This window comes from Homo sapiens, chromosome 20, assembly GCF_000001405.40.
Source record: "Homo sapiens chromosome 20, GRCh38.p14 Primary Assembly".
Taxonomy (NCBI): Eukaryota; Metazoa; Chordata; class Mammalia; order Primates; family Hominidae; genus Homo; species Homo sapiens.
The window spans coordinates 62182866-62203963 of record NC_000020.11 but is presented as its reverse complement, the minus strand read 5'-3'; the positions used below and the strand labels follow the sequence as shown (position 1 = coordinate 62203963).

Here is a 21098-nt window from a genome sequence, read left to right as displayed (position 1 = left end):
TGCCAGCGCTTACTGACGCCGTCTCTGGGTCAGGTGTTCTGAGGCTGCTGGGGATACACAGAGACCCTGTGTCCAAGGCAGCCCACACATGCTGACTGTGGGGGGGTTGGCCTGCACCCGCGGTCCCTTCCGTAACTAAAGACTGCGGTGTCGGCCGCCTCAGGCATGGCTACTAAAGACCCGCACAGACGGCCACATAGTGTACACTCCAATTACAGGATCTGTCTGGAAGGCAGGTCCCTGGGGACAGAAGGTAGACGGGTGGGTGCCCGGGGGAGGGGGAAGGCGGGTTCACGCTAACGGGCACAGGGTCTGTTTTCGGGGTGATGAAAACGTTCTGGAATTTGCAGTTTGACAGTTGCACAACCTTCTGAACATACAAAAAAACCACTGAATTATATAAAGTGGTGAATTTTATGGTATGTGAATCATATATCCCATTTGAAAAGCAGACTGACAAAAATTTGTTTCTAGGCAGGAAACAGGAAACTGGGGAAGCCAAGTGTAGCTTTACCCTACTCAGGGAGAACAGTGTTGGAGAGAAAGCTGTCAGCTTTTAGAACGCGATGGCAAAAGCTGTGTGTGTGGCAGGGAGAAGTCTTGGGGCTTTTTGCAGCAAGGAAAGTTCTGGGCAACCTTCGTGGCAGTGACTCCCCCTCTGGAGCCTCAGCTTCAGCAAAGGACGAGGGCATGTCCCCAGAGCAGCCACAGTCAGGCCCAGATCAAGGTTTCAACCCACGGGGAGGCTGGGCTGGGGGCTCCGTGCAGGGGTCGAGCCACAAGGCATCTTGAGCCTCCCCTGCAAGAGCATCAAGATGAAAGCCAGGGATAATTAACGCCGTCAGGCCTGGGGCGACTCCACAAAATCCTTTGTGGCGGCCTGAAAGAAAAAGCAAATAGATGCAAAACCCATCTCTGGTTTCTAGGATAGAAGGACCTTTGAAATTATAAGACATTAAAATAAAGCTTCGGGTAAAAGGACTGTCATGTTCTAGCTGCAGATTTGATGTGAGATCAAAACGGAATTGCTCCTGAAAGCCCAGGCACCGGCCTGCTGTGCAAAGCGCGCCCCACCCCAGCGTGCAGAGACGCGGCCCCGGACCCTTGCGGCTCATCTCACCTGAGGCTGCCGTCTCTCCTCCAAGGGCTGGGGGTCCCCTTCTGATCATCCTTCTCTGCTTCTTTGTCCCCTCCACTTTTTTTTTTTTTTTGAGATGGAGTCTTGCTCTGTCGCTCAGGCTGGAGTGCAGTGGTGTGATCTCGGCTCACTGCAAGCTCCGCCTCCCAGGTTCACGCCATTCTCCTGCTTCAGCCTCCCGAGTAGCTGGGACTACAGGTGACCGCCACCACGCCTGGCTAATTTTTTTGTATTTTTAGTAGAGACGGGGTTTCACTGTGTTAGCCAGGATGGTCTCAATCTCCTGACCTTGTGATCCACCAGCCTCGGCCTCCCAAAGTGCTGGGACTACAGGCATGAGCCACCGTGCCCAGAATGTTCTGTTTTTGTTTGTTTGTTTGTTTGTTTTTTGAGACAGGGTCTCGCTCTGTCACTCAGGCTGGAGTGCAGTGGTGCAATCACGGCTCACTGCAGCCTTGACCTCCCAGGCTCACATGATCCTCCCACGACAGCCTCTGGAGTGTCCCCTCCACTTTCTTTCTTAGGGGCCCCTCAGGGACATGTCAGAGGCCTGAGACTACTTGGGGGATGTCTATGGGCCAGGCAGGCTGCCAGCAGCTGAGCTGTCCTTGCCCTGGGGCTCCTCTGCAGTCAGGGAGACACCAGGCATGGGCCTGGCTTGGATGCATCAGTACTTGACTGCAAAGACTTAAACCACAGACAGGAAAGGCGCTGCTGCAGTCTCGACGGTCAAATGCAGGGCCCCCTCAGCTGCCATCCCACTGAGGGGCGAAGGCCCATCATCTCCCTTCGGCTCGGTAACTGCCTGGCGTAGCACAAGGGTTCTCTTTAAATCCCCAGCAAATGGAGCTGAGTGGAAATTCCGCCCCATATTACCAGGCACACGTCTCCTTCCACTCCTCACTATACCCTGCCCATGCCACGGCCGCCTTCTGAGAATAACGCTGACAGTTCCATGGCCCACAGCCCCTCTAGTTAACTTGCTGTGCACACGGCAGCCCAGCCAGAAACACGCAGCCAGGTCGGATATTGGGTGCATTCAGTCGTGAAGCCTGAGGCTTCCTGGCTCCCACTGAGCACAGAGAAGTGTTCTGAAGGACAGGAAGCAGCTGGCCTCACTGCTCTTCTCAGACGGCTGATGGAGAAAAGCTCACAGCTGCCTGCGCCGCTCTGCCTGGACTTGCATCCTCGGCCCCACCCCTTGCGCAGCAGTGAGGCCCCCCGAGACACTGGTGCCTGGGCTTGCGGTACCGCAGGGCTGCTGGACAACGGGCCAGACGCAGCCCCAGTGTGGATCCAGAGGTCTCTCTCCGTAGCAAGCCATGGAAGCACGACGGGCACTGTGCTGAGAACCCTGGTCTGCACTTCTGACCTGGGGCTCTGGCTGTGCGGTTCTGCTGAGCTCATCCGAGAGTCCACGCGTGCATGGCGGAGACCTGAGTCAGCGGCAGGGCCACCCCGTTATGGGCACCCCAACCCCTTATTAGGGGTGTTAATCAGCACAAATGAGCAACTGGCTCATCAGTCGGTGCAGGCTGACAGGTGCAGGAAATACGGAGGGCAGGCGGGGTAGGGGGCACGGAATGCTTCCCAACATGAGGGCATCTCAGGCCAGCAGGCGGGGCCCAGAGACCCAGAAGCACCACAACTCCCCCGTGTCCACAAGGCACTTTATGCATTCAAAACCACCGAATTCACACCCAGGTTTGCTCAGACAGAGGCCCAGAGGCGACCCCGCTCTGGCGTGGCTACCACCTGAGCGGCTGGCGGCCCTGGCCCAGCTCGGCCTCCGCGTAGGCGTCATACAGCACCTTCAGGTGCAACAGCAGCTGCTCCAGGTTCTCGCCGGTCAACGCCGACAGCACGATGACCTCCTGTCCCAAGTGATCCCGGAGCTGGGACAGATTGGCTTGGGCTTCAGGGAGGTCAATCTTGTTTGCGACGATTGCGTGGGGCCTCGCAGACAGGCCCTTTTCATACATCTCCAGTTCATATTTTAAATCGTCAACTTGAGTCCACGGCTCAGGCTGAGAAAGATCCACCACGAACAAGAGAAAGCGGCAGCGCTCGATGTGCCTGAGGAAGGCGGACCCCAGACCCCTGTTCTGGTGGGCGCCTCGTATGATGCCGGGGATGTCGGCCACTGCAGGGAAGACAGGGGCACACGAGGTGACCACTTGGCACACCCAGCACCCAAGAGCGCCTTCCACCTCGAGCCTGGGAGAGAAGGCCTGGAGCCCACTGCGAAGGCGGATTTCCTGAGTTCTAACACTTTCCTTTCAAGGAACGCCTTGAACTGAAGCCATTTGATTTAGCACCTGGGTGATTCACTGGGCCAACTGACACCTGAGGAATTCAATGCTTGGAGATGTTTGGGAGACCAGCGTGGCGATGGATCTATCTAGTAGAGTACATTTCATACCTTCTCTTTCTGCTTCTAATAGGATTCAAAAAAGAGGAAAATGGCTGCCTGTACTCTACTAATCATTTGATTACTGATAGAAATTTACATGTAGAGTACTCTGCAGATATAAAGTGCCATCCAAATAACCTTACCAGCAGGCTTACTATTTTTAATGGGTGTATTGTCTTCTGGGAAAAAGTTTTATTCTCTCAAACGGCACAAGGAAAGCTTTTAAGTCACGTGTTGTGATGCTGCTGAGCTTCCACAGATGAGAGGGGACAAATAGAGTGGGAAGAAATACTGTCCTCGGCTGGAATTTCAATGCAGGTTTCTGAACTGTAACTGACAGATTCCTAGGGGATGGGGTGGGAACCTGATTTTCATAGAGAACAGGCTGATGAAAATTGTTTAAATTAGGGCCAGGTGCAGTAGCTCACGCCTGTAATCCCAACACTTTGGGAGACCAAGGTGGGGCGGGGGGCAGATCACTTGAGATCAGGAGTTCGAGACCAGCCTGGCCAACATGGTGAAACCCCGTCTCTACTAAAAATACAAAAAAATTAACTGGGCGTGGTGGCGCACGCCTGTAATCCCAGCTACTTGGGAGGCTGAGGCAGGAGAATCACTTAAATATGGGAGGTGGAGGTTGCAGTGAGCTGAGATCGCACCACTGCACTCCAGCCAGGGTGACAGAGTGAGACTCCGTCTCAAAAAAAAAAAAAAAAAAAAGTTGTTTACATTAGGAAAAACAATGCTACTTTTTTTTTTTTTTTTTTGAGATGGAGTTTCGCTCTGTCGCCCAGGCTGGAGTGCAGTGGCATGATCTCGGCTCACTGCAAGCTTTGCCTTCTGGGTTCATGCCATTCTCCATCCTCAGCCTCCCAAGTAGCTGGGACTACAGGTGCCCGCCACCACACCCAGCTAATTTTTTTGTATTTTTAGTAGAGACGGGGTTTCACCATGTTAGCCAGGATGGTGTCGATCTCCTGACCTCGTGATCCGCCTGCCTCGGCCTCCCAAAGTGCTGGGGTTACAGGTGTGAGCCACCACGCCTGGCCAACAATGCTACATTTTAAACAGAAAGCTAAATTTAAGAGTTACATCATTACTTTTCTGAATTACATCATTTAAATCTAACCTTTGGGAGAATTCTGGAAGTTCTACCTGCTATTTGTAGGTGGCCTTCGTAGTGGACGATCCCGACGTGGGGCTTCAGGGTGGTGAACGGGTAGGAAGCCACGGCGGGTCTGGCGTTTGAAATGGCCCGGAGCAGTGAGGACTTCCCGGCGTTGGGGAATCCCACCTGGGGGAAAGAGGGAAGACGGTGGCACGGCCCGCGGCAGCACCTTTGTTAGCGCAGAGTCTGTAACTAACTGGGATTGGAGGGAGGATTTCAGGGCTGGGGGAGTCACAAGGGCTCATGCTCACGACCAAGTCAGCAGTGTACTGATGGGAAAAAGGTGAGTCGCAAAGCTGTTCTCTTCCAGGCCACTGGCAAATCCCCATTGAGAAAAGTGGATTTTCTAGAGCTGAGTGTGTGCAGATGCTGTTGGCAGTGGGGACACCTACCATTCCGGCGTGGGCCACCGTCTTGAGCTCCAGGTGGAGAACTCGCTGCTGTCCTGGCTGTCCAGGGGTACAGGTCACAGGGGCACGGTTGTTGTTGGCCAGGAAGAAGCGGTTGCCTTTCCCTCCTGCCCCGCCCAGCGCGGCAATGTACTCATCTCCCACGCAAGACAGGTCGGCCACAACTCTGCCTCCCTCCTTCACCAGCGTGCCCACGGGGACCTGGGGAACAGCAGGCACTCATCAGCTGAGCTCTACCAGCAGTGAGGAAAGGAGGCCTTAACCCATTCCTGAAGCAAGCGCTAAGGAAAGAAGACAAGAGCGGACTGTGCCCCGGGCAGCTGCCCGCCCCACTCACCTCTGCCAACAGCTCCGGAGCACAAGGAAAAGGTCCCAGTGCTCCAGGGCTTTCACGGGGCTGCGTACACACCCTTCTGACTGCACAAAGGGCTTTTTCAAATAGTGTTTCTAAAACGTTAGTGTGAACTGAAGCACCAGAAAAAACATCTAAGAGACGAGTGAATTCAGCTCGCGAAGGAGACGCAGGCCCGCTGGGTGCCAGTGGCCTCCCTCAGTCAGAGGTCGGCTCATGGGGTCAGAGACGGAGGAAGCGTCCGTGCCGTGGGCTCCCTCTTTTTAAAAGAGAATCGTTTCATGACTTTTTCACTAGACATGCACATGGTGTGAGACCCTGGTACAAATGCCCGTCTGGGTTTGCTTTGAGGGGTGGGGCTGCTTTCCCGCTGTCTGCCAGCCTCCGTTTCCATTGTGCTGTTTCCTAGCTGTGGGCATCAAGCCACAGGGGCCCCGTGGGTCACACGGTGGCCCCCAGGAGCTGGATGATCCAGAACAACGGGGACAGGGCCAGGTCCGGCAGTCTCGGCTCACCCGGATGTAGAGGACGGCGCCACTGCGCCCGAAGCAGTTTTTACTCCCTCCATCTTCTCCACTGAAACCCTGGTACCGCGACAGGACCGACGACAGGGACTTGACTTGCTGGTCAACTAAAGCAAGAACAAGAATCTCAGTCCCTTTGTGTTACGACAACCATGGCCTATTGCTGATGTGTCTGGGTCCAGTTTAAGAACCTTAAAAATAGGTATGGAAGCATGGAGTGAGGGTGCAGCAGAAGTTACAAAACCAGCAAAGTGATTTTTTAAAAATGAAATCCTTATTTTCCTTCAAAAAGTGCTATCATTTCTGAAAATTTTTAAATTTCTTATTTTTTACAGTAGCTGTATTCTATGCTTTTGTTGTGAAGGCTTCACTCCCAGCTCGCTATGCGTCTATGCTGAGTGTGAATATAACCAGCAGCCAGCGGCACCCACCGAACCCACCACACAGGCCTCGTGCTTTCACGCGACCGACATGTCAGCTTCCCTGACAGGAAACTCTCTGTGCTCCTGAAATTAAACAAACAAAACAAAACATGTTCAAAGTTGCTTTTTCTTTTTTTTTTTAGACAGAGTCTCGCTCTGTCAGCCAGGCAGGAGTGCAGTGGCATGATCTTGGCTCACTGCAACATCTGTGTCCTGGGCTCAAGCAATTCTCGTGCCTCAGCCTCCCAAATAGCTGGGATTACAGGCATCTGCCACCACGCCTGGCTAATTTTTCTATTTTTAGTAGAGATGGGGTTTCTCCATATTGGCCAGGCTGGTCTTGAACTCCTGACCTCAGGTGATCCACTCGCCTTGGCCTCCCAAAGTGCTGGAATTATAGGCATGAGCCACTGCGCCTGGCCTCAAAGTTGCTTTTTTGGGTGTGCTACTTAACTATGAATATCCATATAATTTTTTTTTTATGTTTTATGTTTTTATTTTTTTGAGACGGAGTTTCACTCTTGTTGCCGAGGCTAGAGTGCAATGGCACGATCTCAGCTCACCGCAACCTCTGCCTCCTGGATTCAAGCAATTCTCCTGCCTCAGCCTCCCTAGTAGCTGGGATTACAAGTGCCCACCACCACGCCCAGCTAATTTTTTTTGTATTTTTTGTAGAGACGGGGTTTCACCATGTTGGCCAGGCTGGTCTCGAACTCCTGACCTTAAGCGATCCACCCGCCTCGGTCTCCCAAAGTGCTGGGATTACAGGTGTGAGCCACCACGCCCGGCTGAATATCCATATAATTTATAAAAATGATATCCATACATCAGGGTTTTTTTTGTTTGTTTGTTTTGTTTTGTTTTTTTGAGATAGGGTCTTCCTCTGTTGGCCAGGCTGGAGTGCAGCAGCACAATCGGAGCTCACTGCAACCTCGACCTCCTGGGCTCAAGCCATCCTCCTGCTTCAGCCCCAAGTAGCTGGGACTATCAGTGTGTGCCACCACATCTGGTTATTATTATTATTTTTTAAGAGACAGGATTTCACCACGTTGGCCAGGCTGGTCTCGAACTCCGGACCTCAAGCGATCCACCCGCCTCGGTCTCCCAAAGTTCTGGGATTACAGGCATGAGCCACTGCGCCTAGCTGGGTTTTAAAAATTTTACTTTTTTTTTTTTTAGAGATAGGGTATTGCTCTGTCACCCATGCTGGAATATGCAGTGGTGTGATCACGATTCACTGCAGCCTTGAACTTCTGGGATCCAGCAATCCTCCTGAGTAGCTGGGACCACAGGTGCACGCTACCATGTCTGGCTAATTTTTTCAAAAATTTTTTGTAGATCCACAAACCTTGAGGCAAAAAAAAAAAAACAAAAAAACAAACAAACAAAAAAGACATGGTCTTGCTATATTGTCCAGGCTGGTCTTGAACTTATGGGCTCAAGTGATCCTCCTGCCTCAGCCTCTCCAAGTGCTGGGATCACAGGCATAAGCCACTGTGCCTGCCCATACATCAGGTTTTTAGTTCAAATGCACATGCAGTCTCGGGGCCCCTCCTCAACCCCGCTGCACTGCCCCAGGGCACCTGCCTCTCAGAATGACGTGTCCACCGTTGCCTCCGTCCCCTCCATCAGGGCCTCCAAACTCCTTGCGGGGCTCACTGTGGAAGCAGCTTGCCCCAGCGCCTCCGTTTCCTCCACAGACAAGCACTCTCCGATAGTCCACAAAGTACCTTTTCTACAGAGAACACAAATATCCCACGTCATCTCAACACTCCAAGGTCCTTTCAAGACACCATGCATCCATTTGAGATGTACATCTTCTATCTATAACAGCCTATTAAAATTAGAGGTTAATGACACTAATATTGCTAATCACTTCTAAATTCCGAAGATAAAAAACAGTCTCCACAAGTCAGTTGCATTTGTAGACTGAGGTAAATCCACAATGCAGATGTAAGTATTCTGTGTGGACCTACACTTCAAAAATTCAGCATTTCTTACTCTGGGTGAGACTGATTTAAAAACCAACAACAAAAATCAGCATTTCTAAGCTAAAAAACCCACATCTTGTTTAGGAAATATTCCTTATATAATGTGTCTTTCCATTCAAAAAAACCATTCCTGAAATCATAGATCTTTACTCTTAGAAAGTTCTAGTTTCCCAGGATGCGATAGAGAAATAGGAAGTTAGAATCGTTCCTGGACAATTACCAGGCTTTCGACTCTGAAGAAAGAGTATTTTCTGGGGCCTGATGAAAACAGGGCTCATTTAAAAAATGTGGTGAGGCAAACAGAGCCCCTCGCTGGAGGGAAAGCTGTTTTGTTTTTTGTGGTTTTTTTTGAGGCAGAGTCTCGCTCTGTCGCCCAGGCTGGAGTGCAACGGTGGGATCTCGGCTCACTGCAAGCTCTGCCTCCCAGGTTCATGCCATTCTCCTGCCTCAGCCTCCTAAGTAGCTGGGACTACAGGCACCCGCCACTGCGCCCGGCTAGTTTTTTGTATTTTTAGTAGAGACGGGGTTTCACCGTGTTGGCCAGGATGGTCTCGATCTCCTGACCTCGTGATCCACCCGCCTCGGCCTCCCAAAGTGCTGGGACTACAGGCGTGAGCCACTGTGCCCGGCTAGGAAAGCTGTTCTGTAGGTCACTAAGGTAGGTGCAATCTGGATGAAGAGAGAGAACCAACCAGGTTACTGTTCAACACACAACAGCTCCTACCACAGGAGGGTCAGCTCCCGCAGCCCAGGGTGCTGCAACCTCACCACACGCTGGGGAGGACACCTGGCTTCTGCCCACGTGCACAGACAGACGTGCCCTGCCCCTGACAGCCACCCAGGGCTGCTGCCTCTGCACTCCGATCCAATACTCCTCAAATGCAGTTTTTTTTTCTTTTAAAAGAAAATTTTAAAACATTTAAAATTTTTAAACACAAAAATTTAAACACAAAAAAAAATTTAAAAATTTAAAACACAAACATTCTAAGATTCTTTGGCACCACCATGTGGGAAAACCACGAACTGTTATTTCCAAATTTCAATGTGTAATGCTGTCATGCGCCAACGCAAGCAAAATCCACCAGACAGGGAGGAAAGCCCCACTGGTGAGCACTTCGTGGAGGACAAAACCTCGACTCACTTTCTCTCCTGGGGAGGAGACAAGCCTGTGCTAACGCTTCAGCTATTTGAGCACACATCCCACCAAAGCGGCTTTTCCACTGGAAGTGCTGTTTGTCCCAGTAATGCTTATCTGGAGCCCCTCCATTCAGCAGGAAACGAAGGGAGTCATAAACGTGCATTTTCTTGAATTTATTAGAGACAATTCATGCTTTAAATAGGAGGTTTTGGTAAATAGAACAAGAAAAACTTATAAGGCTTAAAGAACCATAAAACGGAAGGTATATTCCCCCCTACTTGTTTTATTTTTATTTATTTATTAATTTAAAAAGGTTTTTTTTTTTTTTTTAGTAGAGACAGGGTTTCACCATGTTGGCCAGGCTGGTCTCGAACTCCTGACCTCAAGTGATCCGCCTGCCTTAGCCTCCCAAAGTGTTGGGATAACAGGCATGAGCCACCGTGCCCAGCCTCCGCATTTGTTTTAAATTAAGAAATAGCCACACATATGAAAGGATATATGTAACATACATGTAAAATACACAGGCTCATGGGAAAATGAGCAGCCTGTATCACGGCTTTCCAAGCACGCAGCGCCTCTCCCAGCCTGCTGGGATTTGCTGAGCGTGGGATTTAGCACGCAGGCCTGCGTTTCACCCTGTCATTTTCAAGAAGCTCCACGTGCCCCATCACTAAGATCATCAACTAACATCAACAGAGATGAGACCCAGAGGAGGACCCGAAACCACACCCTGTGCCTTCTGAGGAGGAGACAGGCAAGCTGCTCTAACTCCAGGAGTCTCACCAGCTTTTTCTCAGAGAGCAGCTTCTTCCCCGGGAGTTCCTGATGCTTGGCGAGGTCCGCACGGCCGACCGAGAGCAGCCTGGGAGAAGCCCGCTGTGGCAGTAGCCGGCTGGGCTTCAGGCCAGCCCATGTGGACAAAGCCCAATGCCCCACGCCCTGAAACACGGTCCTCAATCTTGCTGAGAAACACCTTGCAGGTGCCATGGCCCCTACAGAAGTCAAATTGGCAAAATGAGATACTTGGTTTAATGCTGGGCATGAAACAGAAACTGAAGACGAGGGCCTCATGCAGCAGGTCTTTGTGCACGTTTCTGAAACAAACAAGTGAACTGATGAATCCGATTTTCCTGGTCACTCACCCTCTCGGCCCTGGGTCACGTCTTGCCCTCTGACCCGTCAGCCTATCTGTGACTTGGGAGCAGGATTTCTGTACAAAGGATTTAAAACATGAAATCTTCCACAACACTGGACACATCCTCTTATGGAATAGCAAGGTTCCGCTCAACGAAAATATTAAAAAGGAAATCTGAAGTGCAAGTCAAAATTTCTTGAAAAGAAAAACACCCATTTATTAAAATGTTATCAAGAGTGTTATCCTGTGTAATTTTAAAGTTGTTACATTGGAACACAAGAATATTAAACATGGGGCATAGCGGCTAAGCACCCAGGCTCTGGAAAGTAACTCTAAGGGAAGGCCATCCACCTGTGTGGCCTCGGCCTCCTCACACGGCTGGGTGAGGACGGGCTGAGCTGATCCACACGGCTGCACAACCGCGGCCCTGGCTGTGGCACCGATAGAATGAGAAGAACACACTTGGCCCCTGCTCCTGGCTCCTGACACAGAGCTCTCAGAACGCTGGTAATTTCCTGAGTGACAGGGGCGATAGGGGTGCCTGACACAGAGCTCCTAAATCCCTTGGACTTCCCAGGTGACAGGAGAGTCTTCTGTTCTAATGAGGCACCTCTTGGTGGGCTCCTGGATGGCCTTGGGAGGGGGCTGGTCATCATAAAGACCAAGCCACGATGAGAAGCCTGGACCTTTCGGCCCCACCCCCACCCTCCAAAAAGGGCAGAGGGGCTGGAGGCTGAGTTCATAACTGATCATGTCTCCATGATGAGGCCTCCATGGAAATCCTGGAACTAGGGGCTCTGGAAAGCTTTCAGTTTGGTGAACTCATCCCCGTGCTGTAAGGCCAGCCACACAACTCCCTGGGGACAAAGGCTCCTATGCTTAGGACCCTCTGGGCCTCGCCCGTGCCCCTCCTCACCCAGCTGCCTGCCTGTGCCCGCTGTGGCATCCTTTATAGTAAACTGGCAATGCAAACCAAGTGCCTTCCTGAGTTCTGTGAGCCACTACCGCAAATCATCAAACCTGAAGGGGTCGTAGGAACTCCCAATGTGTAGCCAAGATGGACAGAAGTGTGGGTACCCCAGGGACCCACTACTTGCAATTAGCATCTGAAGTGGGGGGTGACTGAGCCCCTAACGCTGGGGTCCCTGATAACCGCGGCAGGGTCAGACTGAACTGAATTACAGGATGCCTGGCTGGTGTCTGCAGAGGACTGGCGAATTGTTGGTGTGGAAAACCCACACATTTGGTGCCTGATGTGTAGTGTGGGTGGAAATATCCCCGGAGCGACAGGGTTGGCACAGCTGCAGACTCTAAGTGCCAGCTACTGTCACTCTCAAAGCCTCATTTAAGCTGTCACTCATTCAACAAGCCGCTCATGACAGCCGGCTACCTTGCAGGTGCCAAGGGCACAGTGAGGAAGTCCTGACCCTGCCCTCCAGGAGAGGACAGCCCCTCTCCCTTCACCATGAGCACAAATACCTGCCTGCTCCCAGAGCTCCCCAGTCTTCAGCAGGTCGCACAGGAGGGACCTTACAAGGTGCTCCCCATCCTGACTACAAAAGATGTGTACAGAAGGGGCCCCAGTGGACGGCTGAAAACTCAACACGGGGCCAGAGCGGGAGCACAACGAGGGGACACCGCCTGCCTCCTCCCTCGCAGTGCCTCGGACGCCTCCCTCTCCCCAGCCTCACTCCTCTGAAAAGGTGCCACCTCCTTTGGGGGGGTCACTATCTCTGTGGGGTCCTTGGCCATTCTGCTTTAATTCTGAGGCAATCACAGTTACAGAAAAGCTGGAAGAAGAGTACAAAGAACTTCCTCCTGAATCACTTAAGAGTCAGTCGCCGACTGGACTTCCCTGCACCCAGAACAGTCCATGTGTGTTTCCTAGAGAAAATGGTGTCCCCTCCAGAACCAGGGTGTCATTGAGACTGGCCATGACCGACAGCCCCTCCCACGTGGGCCCCGGTCTCAGCAGTGCCTCTCCCTGTAGGAAAGTCTGCGTCCCTATCCCGGCTGCCTGCAGCTGCCACACCTTGTCCAGCTCCTTGGGCTGGAAGGTTCCTCAGCCTCTCCTGACTCCCGAGCCAGCCCTGACACGTGGGAGGCAGCAGGCCAGCTGTGCACAGGACGTCCTCATTCCCAATTCAGCACTCTGGGGTCATTCTAATTTTCTCTTGTGGTCTTGGTAACTCCATTCTCCGCCTATAAGAAACCGGGCCTCCATGCACTTTAAGATATTTATGGAGCTGCTCAACCCCTACCTGCTGTGACCCGCCCTCAGCTCCACCTCCCCGCCTGCTCCCAGAGCTCCCCATTCTTTAGCGGGTCTCTGTTCTCCGACTGGCTGAGTTCCCGTGCCGGGCCACCTCTCCATGGGACACCCTCCCCTTGATACCCTTCCTGTAAATATATTTTACAGGACAGCTGATTTTGAGATGGTTTTAGATTTGTGGACAAGGTGCAAAGGCATCCCTGCGGACTTCCTCCCCAGTGCCCCCGCAGCCGTGCCTGTGCGGCCGCCGCCGCTGCACCGCTACTAACTGAGCTCCAGGTGGGGCTTGGGGCTCAGCAGTTTCCCAAGAGCGTCCTTCTTCTGGTCCAGGATCTAGGCCAGGATCCACCCTGCTTTTAACCATTATGTAGGGATATTTTTAAGTGTTGTCAGAAAAGAGGCACCGAGGTATTCTATACGCAGGGAAAATATCTTTCAGAAACGAAGGTGCAATAAAGATTCTAGATGGCAGAAAACGAACATAGTTTGTCACTAATACAGCTGCTGTATAAGGAATGCTCAAGAAAGTTCCTCGGGTTGAAGGAAAATGATACCAGAGGGAAGCCTGGATCTTGAGGAGGGAAGGGAGAGCAACAGAATTGGTAAATATAAAATACTATTGTTTTCCTCTTAGGAGTTCTTAAATATGTAAGACTGTAGACAAAAAAATACTGCGTAGTTGGCTTCCAACGCGCACAGAAGTAATCCACATGAAAGGCAACAGAAAGGTCAGGAGGGGATTCGAGGGACCCAGATGACTGCAAGGTCCCCACGTTTCTGTGAGGGGCACAGTATGAACTCTGAGCAGACAGTGAAGGCTAACAGGTGTGCAGACTGGAACCTCCAGAGCAATGACTAAGACACAACACAAAGACACAGATCCGAAAAGCCAACAGATAAATGAAATGCTCAGAACTAGCCCAACAATTCCAAAGAAAAAGAACAAACAAACAAAAAACAGAGGGGACAAATAGGAAACAAATAATAAAAGTGCACCTAAATCTAACCATATAAATAATTTCATTAAATGTTAATGTTGGCTGGGCGCGGTGGCTCATGCCTGTAATCCCAGCACTTTGGGAGGCTGAAGCGGGCGGACCACGAGGTCAGGAGTTTGAGACCAGCCTGACCAACGTGGTGAAACCCCGTCTCTACTAAAAATACAAAAATTAGCTGGGCATGGTGGCGTGTGCCTGTAATCCCAGCTACTCAGGAGGCTGAGGCAGGAGAATTGCTTGAACGGGGAGGCGGAGGTTGCAGTGAGCCGAGATTGCATCATTGCACTCCAGCCTGGAAGACAGAGCGAGACTCCATCTCAAAAAAAAAAAAAAAAAAAGTTAATGTTTACAAATTCTAATTAAAAGGCAGAGGTTGACAAAGTGGATTAAAAAGAGCTAGCTGGGCACAGCAGTTCCTGGCTGTAATCCCAGCACTGTAGGAGGCCAAGGCGGGAAGATCTCTTGAAGCCATGAGTTCGAGACCAGCCTCGGCAAAATAGCAAGACTCCTGTCTCTACCAAAGGAATTAGCTGGGCATGGTGGCGCACCCCTATAGTCCCAGCTACTTTGGAGGCTGAGGTGGGAGAATCACTTGAGCCCATGAATTCAAAGCTGCTATGAGCTATGAATATGCCACCGCACTCCAGCCTGAGCAATAGAATGAGAGAAAGAGACACTTTTTTTTCTTTTTTTTTTTTGAGACAGAGTCTCACTCTGTCACCCAAGCTGGAGCACAGTGACATAATCACAGCTCATTACAGCCTTGACTTCCTGTACTTAAGAGATCCTCCTGCCTCAGCCTCCTGAGTAGCTGGGGCTACAGGTAAGTGCCACTGTGCCTAATTTTTAAATTTTTTTTGCAGAGACAGGGTCTCCCAGTTACCCAGGCTGGTCTCAAGCGATCCTTCTGTCTTGGCCTCCCAAAGTGCTGAGATTACAAGCATGAGCCACCACACCTGGCCTGAGACCCTGTCTAAAAATAGAAAAATAAAAACAGTAAAGACATAAAATCTGAACAATACTATCAAAACATTTATCTAGTTGACATTTACATAACAGTACATCCAACAACTGTACAATATACACTGTTTTCAGGTACAGGTGGAAGTCATCAAACAGACCATAAGATGTGTCATAAGTCTCAATACATTGAGAAGAAATCATAGTCAGTCCTCCGTATCTGTGGGGTCAACAAACCTCACGTCAAAAATATCTGGAAAACAAACAAAAAAACCAGTAACAATACAACAATTTTTTTAATTTAAAAAATAAAGTATAACAGCTATTTACATAGCATTTACATTGTATTGTACTATAAATAATCTAGAGATTACTTGAAGTATACAGAAAGGCCCGGTACAGTGGCTCACACCTGTAATCCCAGCAGTTTGAGAGGCCAAGGCAGGAGAAAAACTTGAGGCCAGGAATTTGAGAACAGCCTGGGCAAAATAGCGAGACCTTGTGTCTACCAAAAAAAAAAAAAAAAAAAAAAAATTAGCTGATTAGCTGGACATGGTGGTGCATGCCTATAATACCAGCTACTTAGGAGGCTAAGGTGGGAGGATCACTTAAGCCCAGGAGTTGGAGGCTGCAGTGAACCATGATCACACACTGCACTCCAGCCTGTGTGACAGAGCTTCTGTGGTGGGGCTGGGGGGAAGTATATGAATACCAACCACAGGGTCTATTCTCGGAATTAAATTGGAAGTCAATAGCTAGAAAATATCTAGGAAAATCCCAAATACCTGCAAATCAAACAAGCTTCTTCTAAATAATCCATAGGCCAAAGAAGAAATCAAAAGAGAAATTACAAAATGTTTTGAACTGAATTATAATGGAAATGCAAAATACCAGAATTTTTTTTTTTTTTTTTTGAGACAGTCTCGCACTGTCGCCCAGGCTGGAGTGCAGTGGTGTGATCTCGGCCCACTGAAAGTTCTGCCTCCCGGGTTCACGCCATTCTCCTGCCTCAGCCTCCCGAGTAGCTGGGACTACAGGCGCCCGCCACCATGAAATACCAGAATTTAAGAGATGCAGCTAGAGTAGTGTTTAGAAGGAAACTTACAGCTCTAATGGCTACCTTGGTAAAGAAGAAAGATCTAAAATCAGTAACCTAAGGCTCCAAATCAAGAAACCAGAAAGAGCAAAGTAAGCGTCGAGTAGAAGGAGGAGAATAATACAGAGCAGAAATAAAGAGACAACAATAACATGTAACAGAAAAAAACAGGTTCACTGAAAAGACAAGCTAACTAACACACTTCTAGCCTGATCAGGAAAACGAGAGAGCGCAAACCTCCACTGTCAGGAATGTTCAACGGGTTATCAGGACACACCTTACAGACAGCCAGAGGGCAAGAGAATGCTGGGAACGACTTCATGCCAGCAAATTCAGTAACAAATTCAACTTACATGAAATGGACAAATTTCTTGAAAAAGGCAACTTATTAAAGAAACACAAGAATAAACAATCTAGAATAGCCCTGTATCTACTCAATAAGTTAAATTTCTTATAAAAGAACACTCCCCAAAGGAAAACTCTAGCTCGGCTTGTTTTCCTGGTAAATTCCATGTAACATTCCAGGAAGAAACAGTGCCAATCTTACACAAGCTTTTTCAGAAAATAGAGGAAGTGAGATCACTATCCAACTCATCCTATGAGGCTAGTACCAAAATCTGACACTAAGAAAAAATAAAATTATAGACCATACCCCTCATGAATATAGATGCAAATAACTCTTAACAAAATATTACCCAATTGAATCCAGCAGTTCAGAAAGGATCACACATCAAGACCTAGTAGGGGTAATCTCAGAACACAAGGCCACATCAAGCAGTCAAAACTCAGCCCAGGCACTTCACTATATCAACAGGTGGTACCACCGTCTCAACACCCACTCATGAGGAGGAAAACAAAACATCTCAGCAAACTGGGAACAGACGGGAACATCTTCGCCCTGATAAGGGCACTACGTAGGGCCGGCCGACAGCTAATCACATTTAATGAAGAAATACTGAATGGTTACCTCCCAAGATGGAGAAAAAGGGCCTCCACACATACCACTGCTATGCAACAATGTCCTTTCACACACTGAAATAAAGGGGGAAAAAAGGAAGAAGTAAAACTGTCCCTGTTTACAGAAGAGAGGACAGAGTTCCACAGAGAATCCCAGGGAAGGCTGGGCACGGTGGCTCATGCCTGTAATCCCAGCACTTTGGGAGGCCGAGGTGGGCGGATCATTTGAGATCAGGAGTTCAAGACCAGCGTGGCCAACATGGTGAAACCCCATCTCTACTAAAAATATAAAAATTAGCCAGGCGTGGTGGCACGTGCCTGTAGTCCCGGCTACTCGGGAGGCTGAGGCAGGAGAATCGCTTGAACCTGGGAGGCAGACGCTGCCGTGAGCCGAGATCACGTTACCGCACTCCAGCCTGGGTGACAGAGCAAGACTCCATCTCAAAAAAAAAAAAAAAAAACAAAAAAAAAAGTCCCAGGGAAGGGAACTGAGCAAGATGGCATGTTATCAGGCTAATATAAAAAAATCAGTTGTATTCTTAAATACCAGCCGCAAACAACTGTAAATTAAAATTAAGAAAAAACCCCATTTATGGTAGTGCCAAATACAAAAAGTACCTGAAAATAATTTCACAGTAAACCTTCAAGACCTCTACCTCACTACTTGCAAAATACTGTTCTAAGTATTTTTCAGGGATTAACTCATTCAGTCCTCATAAAACTCTGTGAAGTAAGTCCTTCATCATCCTCATTTTAAAGTTGCGGAAACTGGGCAGACAGGTGAAGAGACTTAACCCAGAGCTATCAGATGGGAAGGCTCAGGGGTGGTGCATAAAAACAGGTTGGGGAAAAACAACTCGGGCTCATCAACACAAGCATAGCCACGGCTCAGCCTGCTGGAACGTTACACCATCCAGCCCGGATATTCTGGAAACCAGGCTTCCTGATGCAGGTGACATGGAACCTGCAGATCAACCGCAGAGAAGGTTGCAAAGCCAACCAGAGACCTGAACTCGGAGTCTTGCCTAATTTGCTTCCTCCTTTTTGCCCTTTCAATTTCTCTTTGGAGGCCCGCTGAGTGCTGTGCTCTCTCCCCTGCCGGATGAACAAATCCCACTGTTTTCACGCTGCTCTTTGGTGTCTTTATTTTCCTTCCAACAAGGCTGTCCTTGACCTGTCCAGCACAGTCCCCACTGGCCAAATGTGGCCATTTGGCTAAAATTAACTGAAATGTAAAAACTCAGTCCCTGAGGTAACATCTAAGTGCACACAGCCACATGTCACGAGTGGGTACATATGGGACAGCACATATTAGAACACTGCCCTCATCACAGAAAGGTTTTTTTTTGAGACAAGAGTCTCACTCTGTCTCACTCCCAGGCTGGAGTGCAATAGCATGATCTCACCTCACTGCAACCTTCGCCTCCTGGGTTCAAGCAATTCTTGTGCTTCAGCGTTCCAAGAAGCTGGGATTACAGGCACCCATCACCACGCTCAGCTAATTTGTGTACATACATATACATGTATATATATGTATGTGTATATATTTTATTTTTTATTTTTTATTTTTATTTTTTTTGGAGACAGTCTCGCTCTGTCGCCCAGGCTGGAGTGCAGTGGCATGATCTCAGCTCACTGCAACCTCTGCCTCCCGGGTTCAAGGGATTCTCCTGCCTCAACCTCCCGAGTAGCTGGGATTACAGCTGCATGCCACCACGCCCAGCTAATTTTTGTATTTTTAGTAGAGACAGGGTTTCACCATGTTGGCCAGGCTGGTCTTGAACTCCTGATCTCGTGATCCGCCCACCTCAGCCTCCCAAATTGCTGGGATTACAAGCATCAGCCACCACGCCCTGGCCATTTTTTTTCTTTTTTATTTGAGGCAGAGTTTCACTCTTGTAGCCCAGGTTGGAGAGCAATGGTGGGATCTTGGCTCACTGTAACCTCCGCCTCATGGGTTCAAGTGATCCACTCGCCTCAGCCTCCCGAGTACCTGGGATTACATGCACCCACCACCACACCCAGCTCATTTTTGTATTTTTAATAGAGACGGGGTTTCACCGTGTTGGCCAGGCTGGTCTTGAACTCCCGACTTCAGGAAATCCACCTGCCTCGGCCCCCCAAAGTGCTGGGATTACAGGCGCGAGCCACCACACCCAACCAATATATCCACTTTTAAATGTATTCCTAACGATAATACCCTGCGAGGGGTAATACTGCATGCCGAGCTATCTTCCATTTGCTTTTCCAGACCAGCTTTCCACCCTGCCCTGTGCTGTGTGTCAGGAGCCTGAGCTTGCCCCATAGGAAAACCTACTGGGACCTGGCCCTCTACCAGAGACTGGAGGCAGGAGCAGGAGGCCGGGACATGGACCTCCCTGCCCACTCAGACTGAGGCTCACACCTCCAGTCCAAGAAGCCCTCCCCAGTGACTCTTCTCCCTGTCCCGATCACTGCTGCCTTCCCTGATCCTTTGGAGTCCAGGAGTAGAAACTCCACTGCCACCAGTTCCAGGCTAAAGGACCAACTGTCATTAACCTGCACTCTGCCTTTGCAAACGGTCCCTTTATAAACCCTCCTCAAATCCTCCTGTGAGCATGAAACCTGATTTTTTTTTTTTGGGTATGTTTTTGAGACAGAGTCTCGCTCTGTTGCCTAGGCTGGAGCAGAGTGGTGCGGTCTCGGCTCACTGCAACCTCCACCTCCCAGGTTCAAGCGATTCTCCTGCCTCAGCCTCCCCAGTAGCTGGGATTACAGGCGCCTGCCACCACGCCCGGCTACTTTTTTGTATTTTTAGTAGAGATGGGGTTTCACCATGTTGGCCAGGCTGGTCTTTAACTCCTGACCTCGTGATCTGCCCGCCTTGGCCTCCCAAAGTTCTGGGATTACAGGCGTGAGCCACCGCGCCCAGCGGAAACCTGATTCTTGACTTTACATTTTTTATGCCCATCTAAAGCAGTGGAGGCTGAGACTCACAGAGGTTCAGTCACTTGCCCAAAGTCACATAGTATCCTCTGGCCTCCCTGGCATGCTGCTGACACCTGCATTTTACGGCAGGAATCTTCTCACTGAGGTTCGCCTACACAGACTTCCCAAGGGACTAAGGCCAGGATAATTTCAAAGGAATCCATTTTCTGCCCAAGTTTCGCTACGTTCTCTCTGCTAAAACAGAACTGCCTGAGGACGAACCTGCGTTTAAAACAATTTGAATTCTCCTTTCCCGTCCCCCTTTTATAATGGGTCCTCCCCTTTACAAAAGAAAGGTATTTCTCTAGTGACACTGCCCAACAACCCCTCTAATTCCCACCTACAGGTCTGTGTGAACGCCGTTCCTCGGTATCCACAGCTACGAGAACGTAAATGGGAATAGAACGGGTAACCCGCTCTCACTGGGCAGAAGCCAGCCACGGACAGTGAATTATCTGGAAATGCGTCTCCCTGAGGCGCGTTTACAATACAAAACTTTATTGTTGTTTTATCATCCAAATGTGTATATATTTATGTTGTTTTGTGCAACTGTATACTGCCAATAATCACTTTAAAATGTTTAATACTTAGAGCGCTGGATCAAGGCAAATTCCTAACAACTTGACTCGGAACTCACACACGGCACCCATCCCGTGACAGAGCACCACCGGGGTGGCTGACAAGACTTCTGACCCCAAAACGCGGTTCTGCGGAGAGAGTGGGGCAGGACCGGGGAGCAAGGCGCCGCTCCCCACCGCCCGAGCGCTCGCTACTCCAGGGCCGCAGCGCTCGGTCCCGCCGGGGTTCGCAGCCCGGCAGCCCTCCAGGCCTCTCAGCTCCTAGGCCGGGGCCTCTCCCGCTCCCAGCGCCCCGGTACCCCGCGGCCCAAGCCGAGGCCCCTCCTTGCGCCCGGGCCGCGACCACCCCCCAGGCCCACGCTCCCCGCTCCCCGCTCCCGCACTCACCGGCTCGGGAAAGCACGTCACTTCCGGAGCGTCGCAAGCGGCCGACCACTTCCGGGGCCTTTTGGCTCCGGAAGCCCAAGGCTTGCCCAGTGCGCAGGTGCAGAAAACACGCCGACGGACCGAGAGGCGACCTTGTCCCTGGTAGCGGAAGCAGGAGCAACGGCAGGAGGGATGCGGAGCGCTCAGCTGCAG

General features: G+C 50.2%; 1 protein-coding gene across 21 annotated transcripts, besides 2 other annotated features; it reads right to left on the bottom strand.

Annotated features, from left to right (window-relative positions):
• Positions 1-395: 395 nt before the first annotated feature.
• Positions 396-20936, bottom strand: MTG2 (mitochondrial ribosome associated GTPase 2). Of its 21 annotated transcripts, none has more exons than NR_169200.1 (9): positions 20907-20936; positions 15083-15174; positions 10340-10548; positions 8015-8162; positions 5997-6112; positions 5112-5330; positions 4707-4845; positions 1121-3281; positions 396-880 (listed from the first exon to the last, which is right to left on the bottom strand). NR_169200.1 is itself a non-coding variant. In XM_047440103.1 (9 exons), the coding sequence occupies exons 3-8, from the start codon at positions 10541-10543 to the stop codon at positions 2887-2889; spliced, it is 1221 nt and encodes a 406-aa protein (XP_047296059.1). In that variant the 5' UTR covers positions 10544-10548; positions 15159-15174; positions 20907-20936; the 3' UTR covers positions 396-880; positions 1121-2886. The 21 variants fall into 21 exon arrangements, 7 of the variants coding, with proteins under 7 accessions (XP_047296059.1, XP_024307637.1, NP_001371276.1 ...); NR_169210.1 differs by lacking the exon at positions 15083-15174 and adding an exon at positions 8951-9087; NR_169205.1 differs by lacking the exon at positions 15083-15174 and adding an exon at positions 6437-6511 and having other exon boundaries at positions 396-799.
• Positions 20718-20887: a silencer, noted in NCBI's record as "silent region_13103". NCBI's record gives its function as "represses an Ori minimal core promoter by ATAC-STARR-seq in GM12878 lymphoblastoid cells {active_cell/tissue: GM12878}" and the evidence as "EXISTENCE:reporter gene assay evidence [ECO:0000049][PMID:35858748]".
• Positions 20894-21078: a silencer, noted in NCBI's record as "fragment chr20:60757942-60758126 (GRCh37/hg19 assembly coordinates)". NCBI's record gives its function as "represses an EF-1alpha promoter that drives an FKBP-Casp9 reporter gene in an ReSE screen in HepG2 liver carcinoma cells {active_cell/tissue: HepG2}" and the evidence as "EXISTENCE:reporter gene assay evidence [ECO:0000049][PMID:32094911]".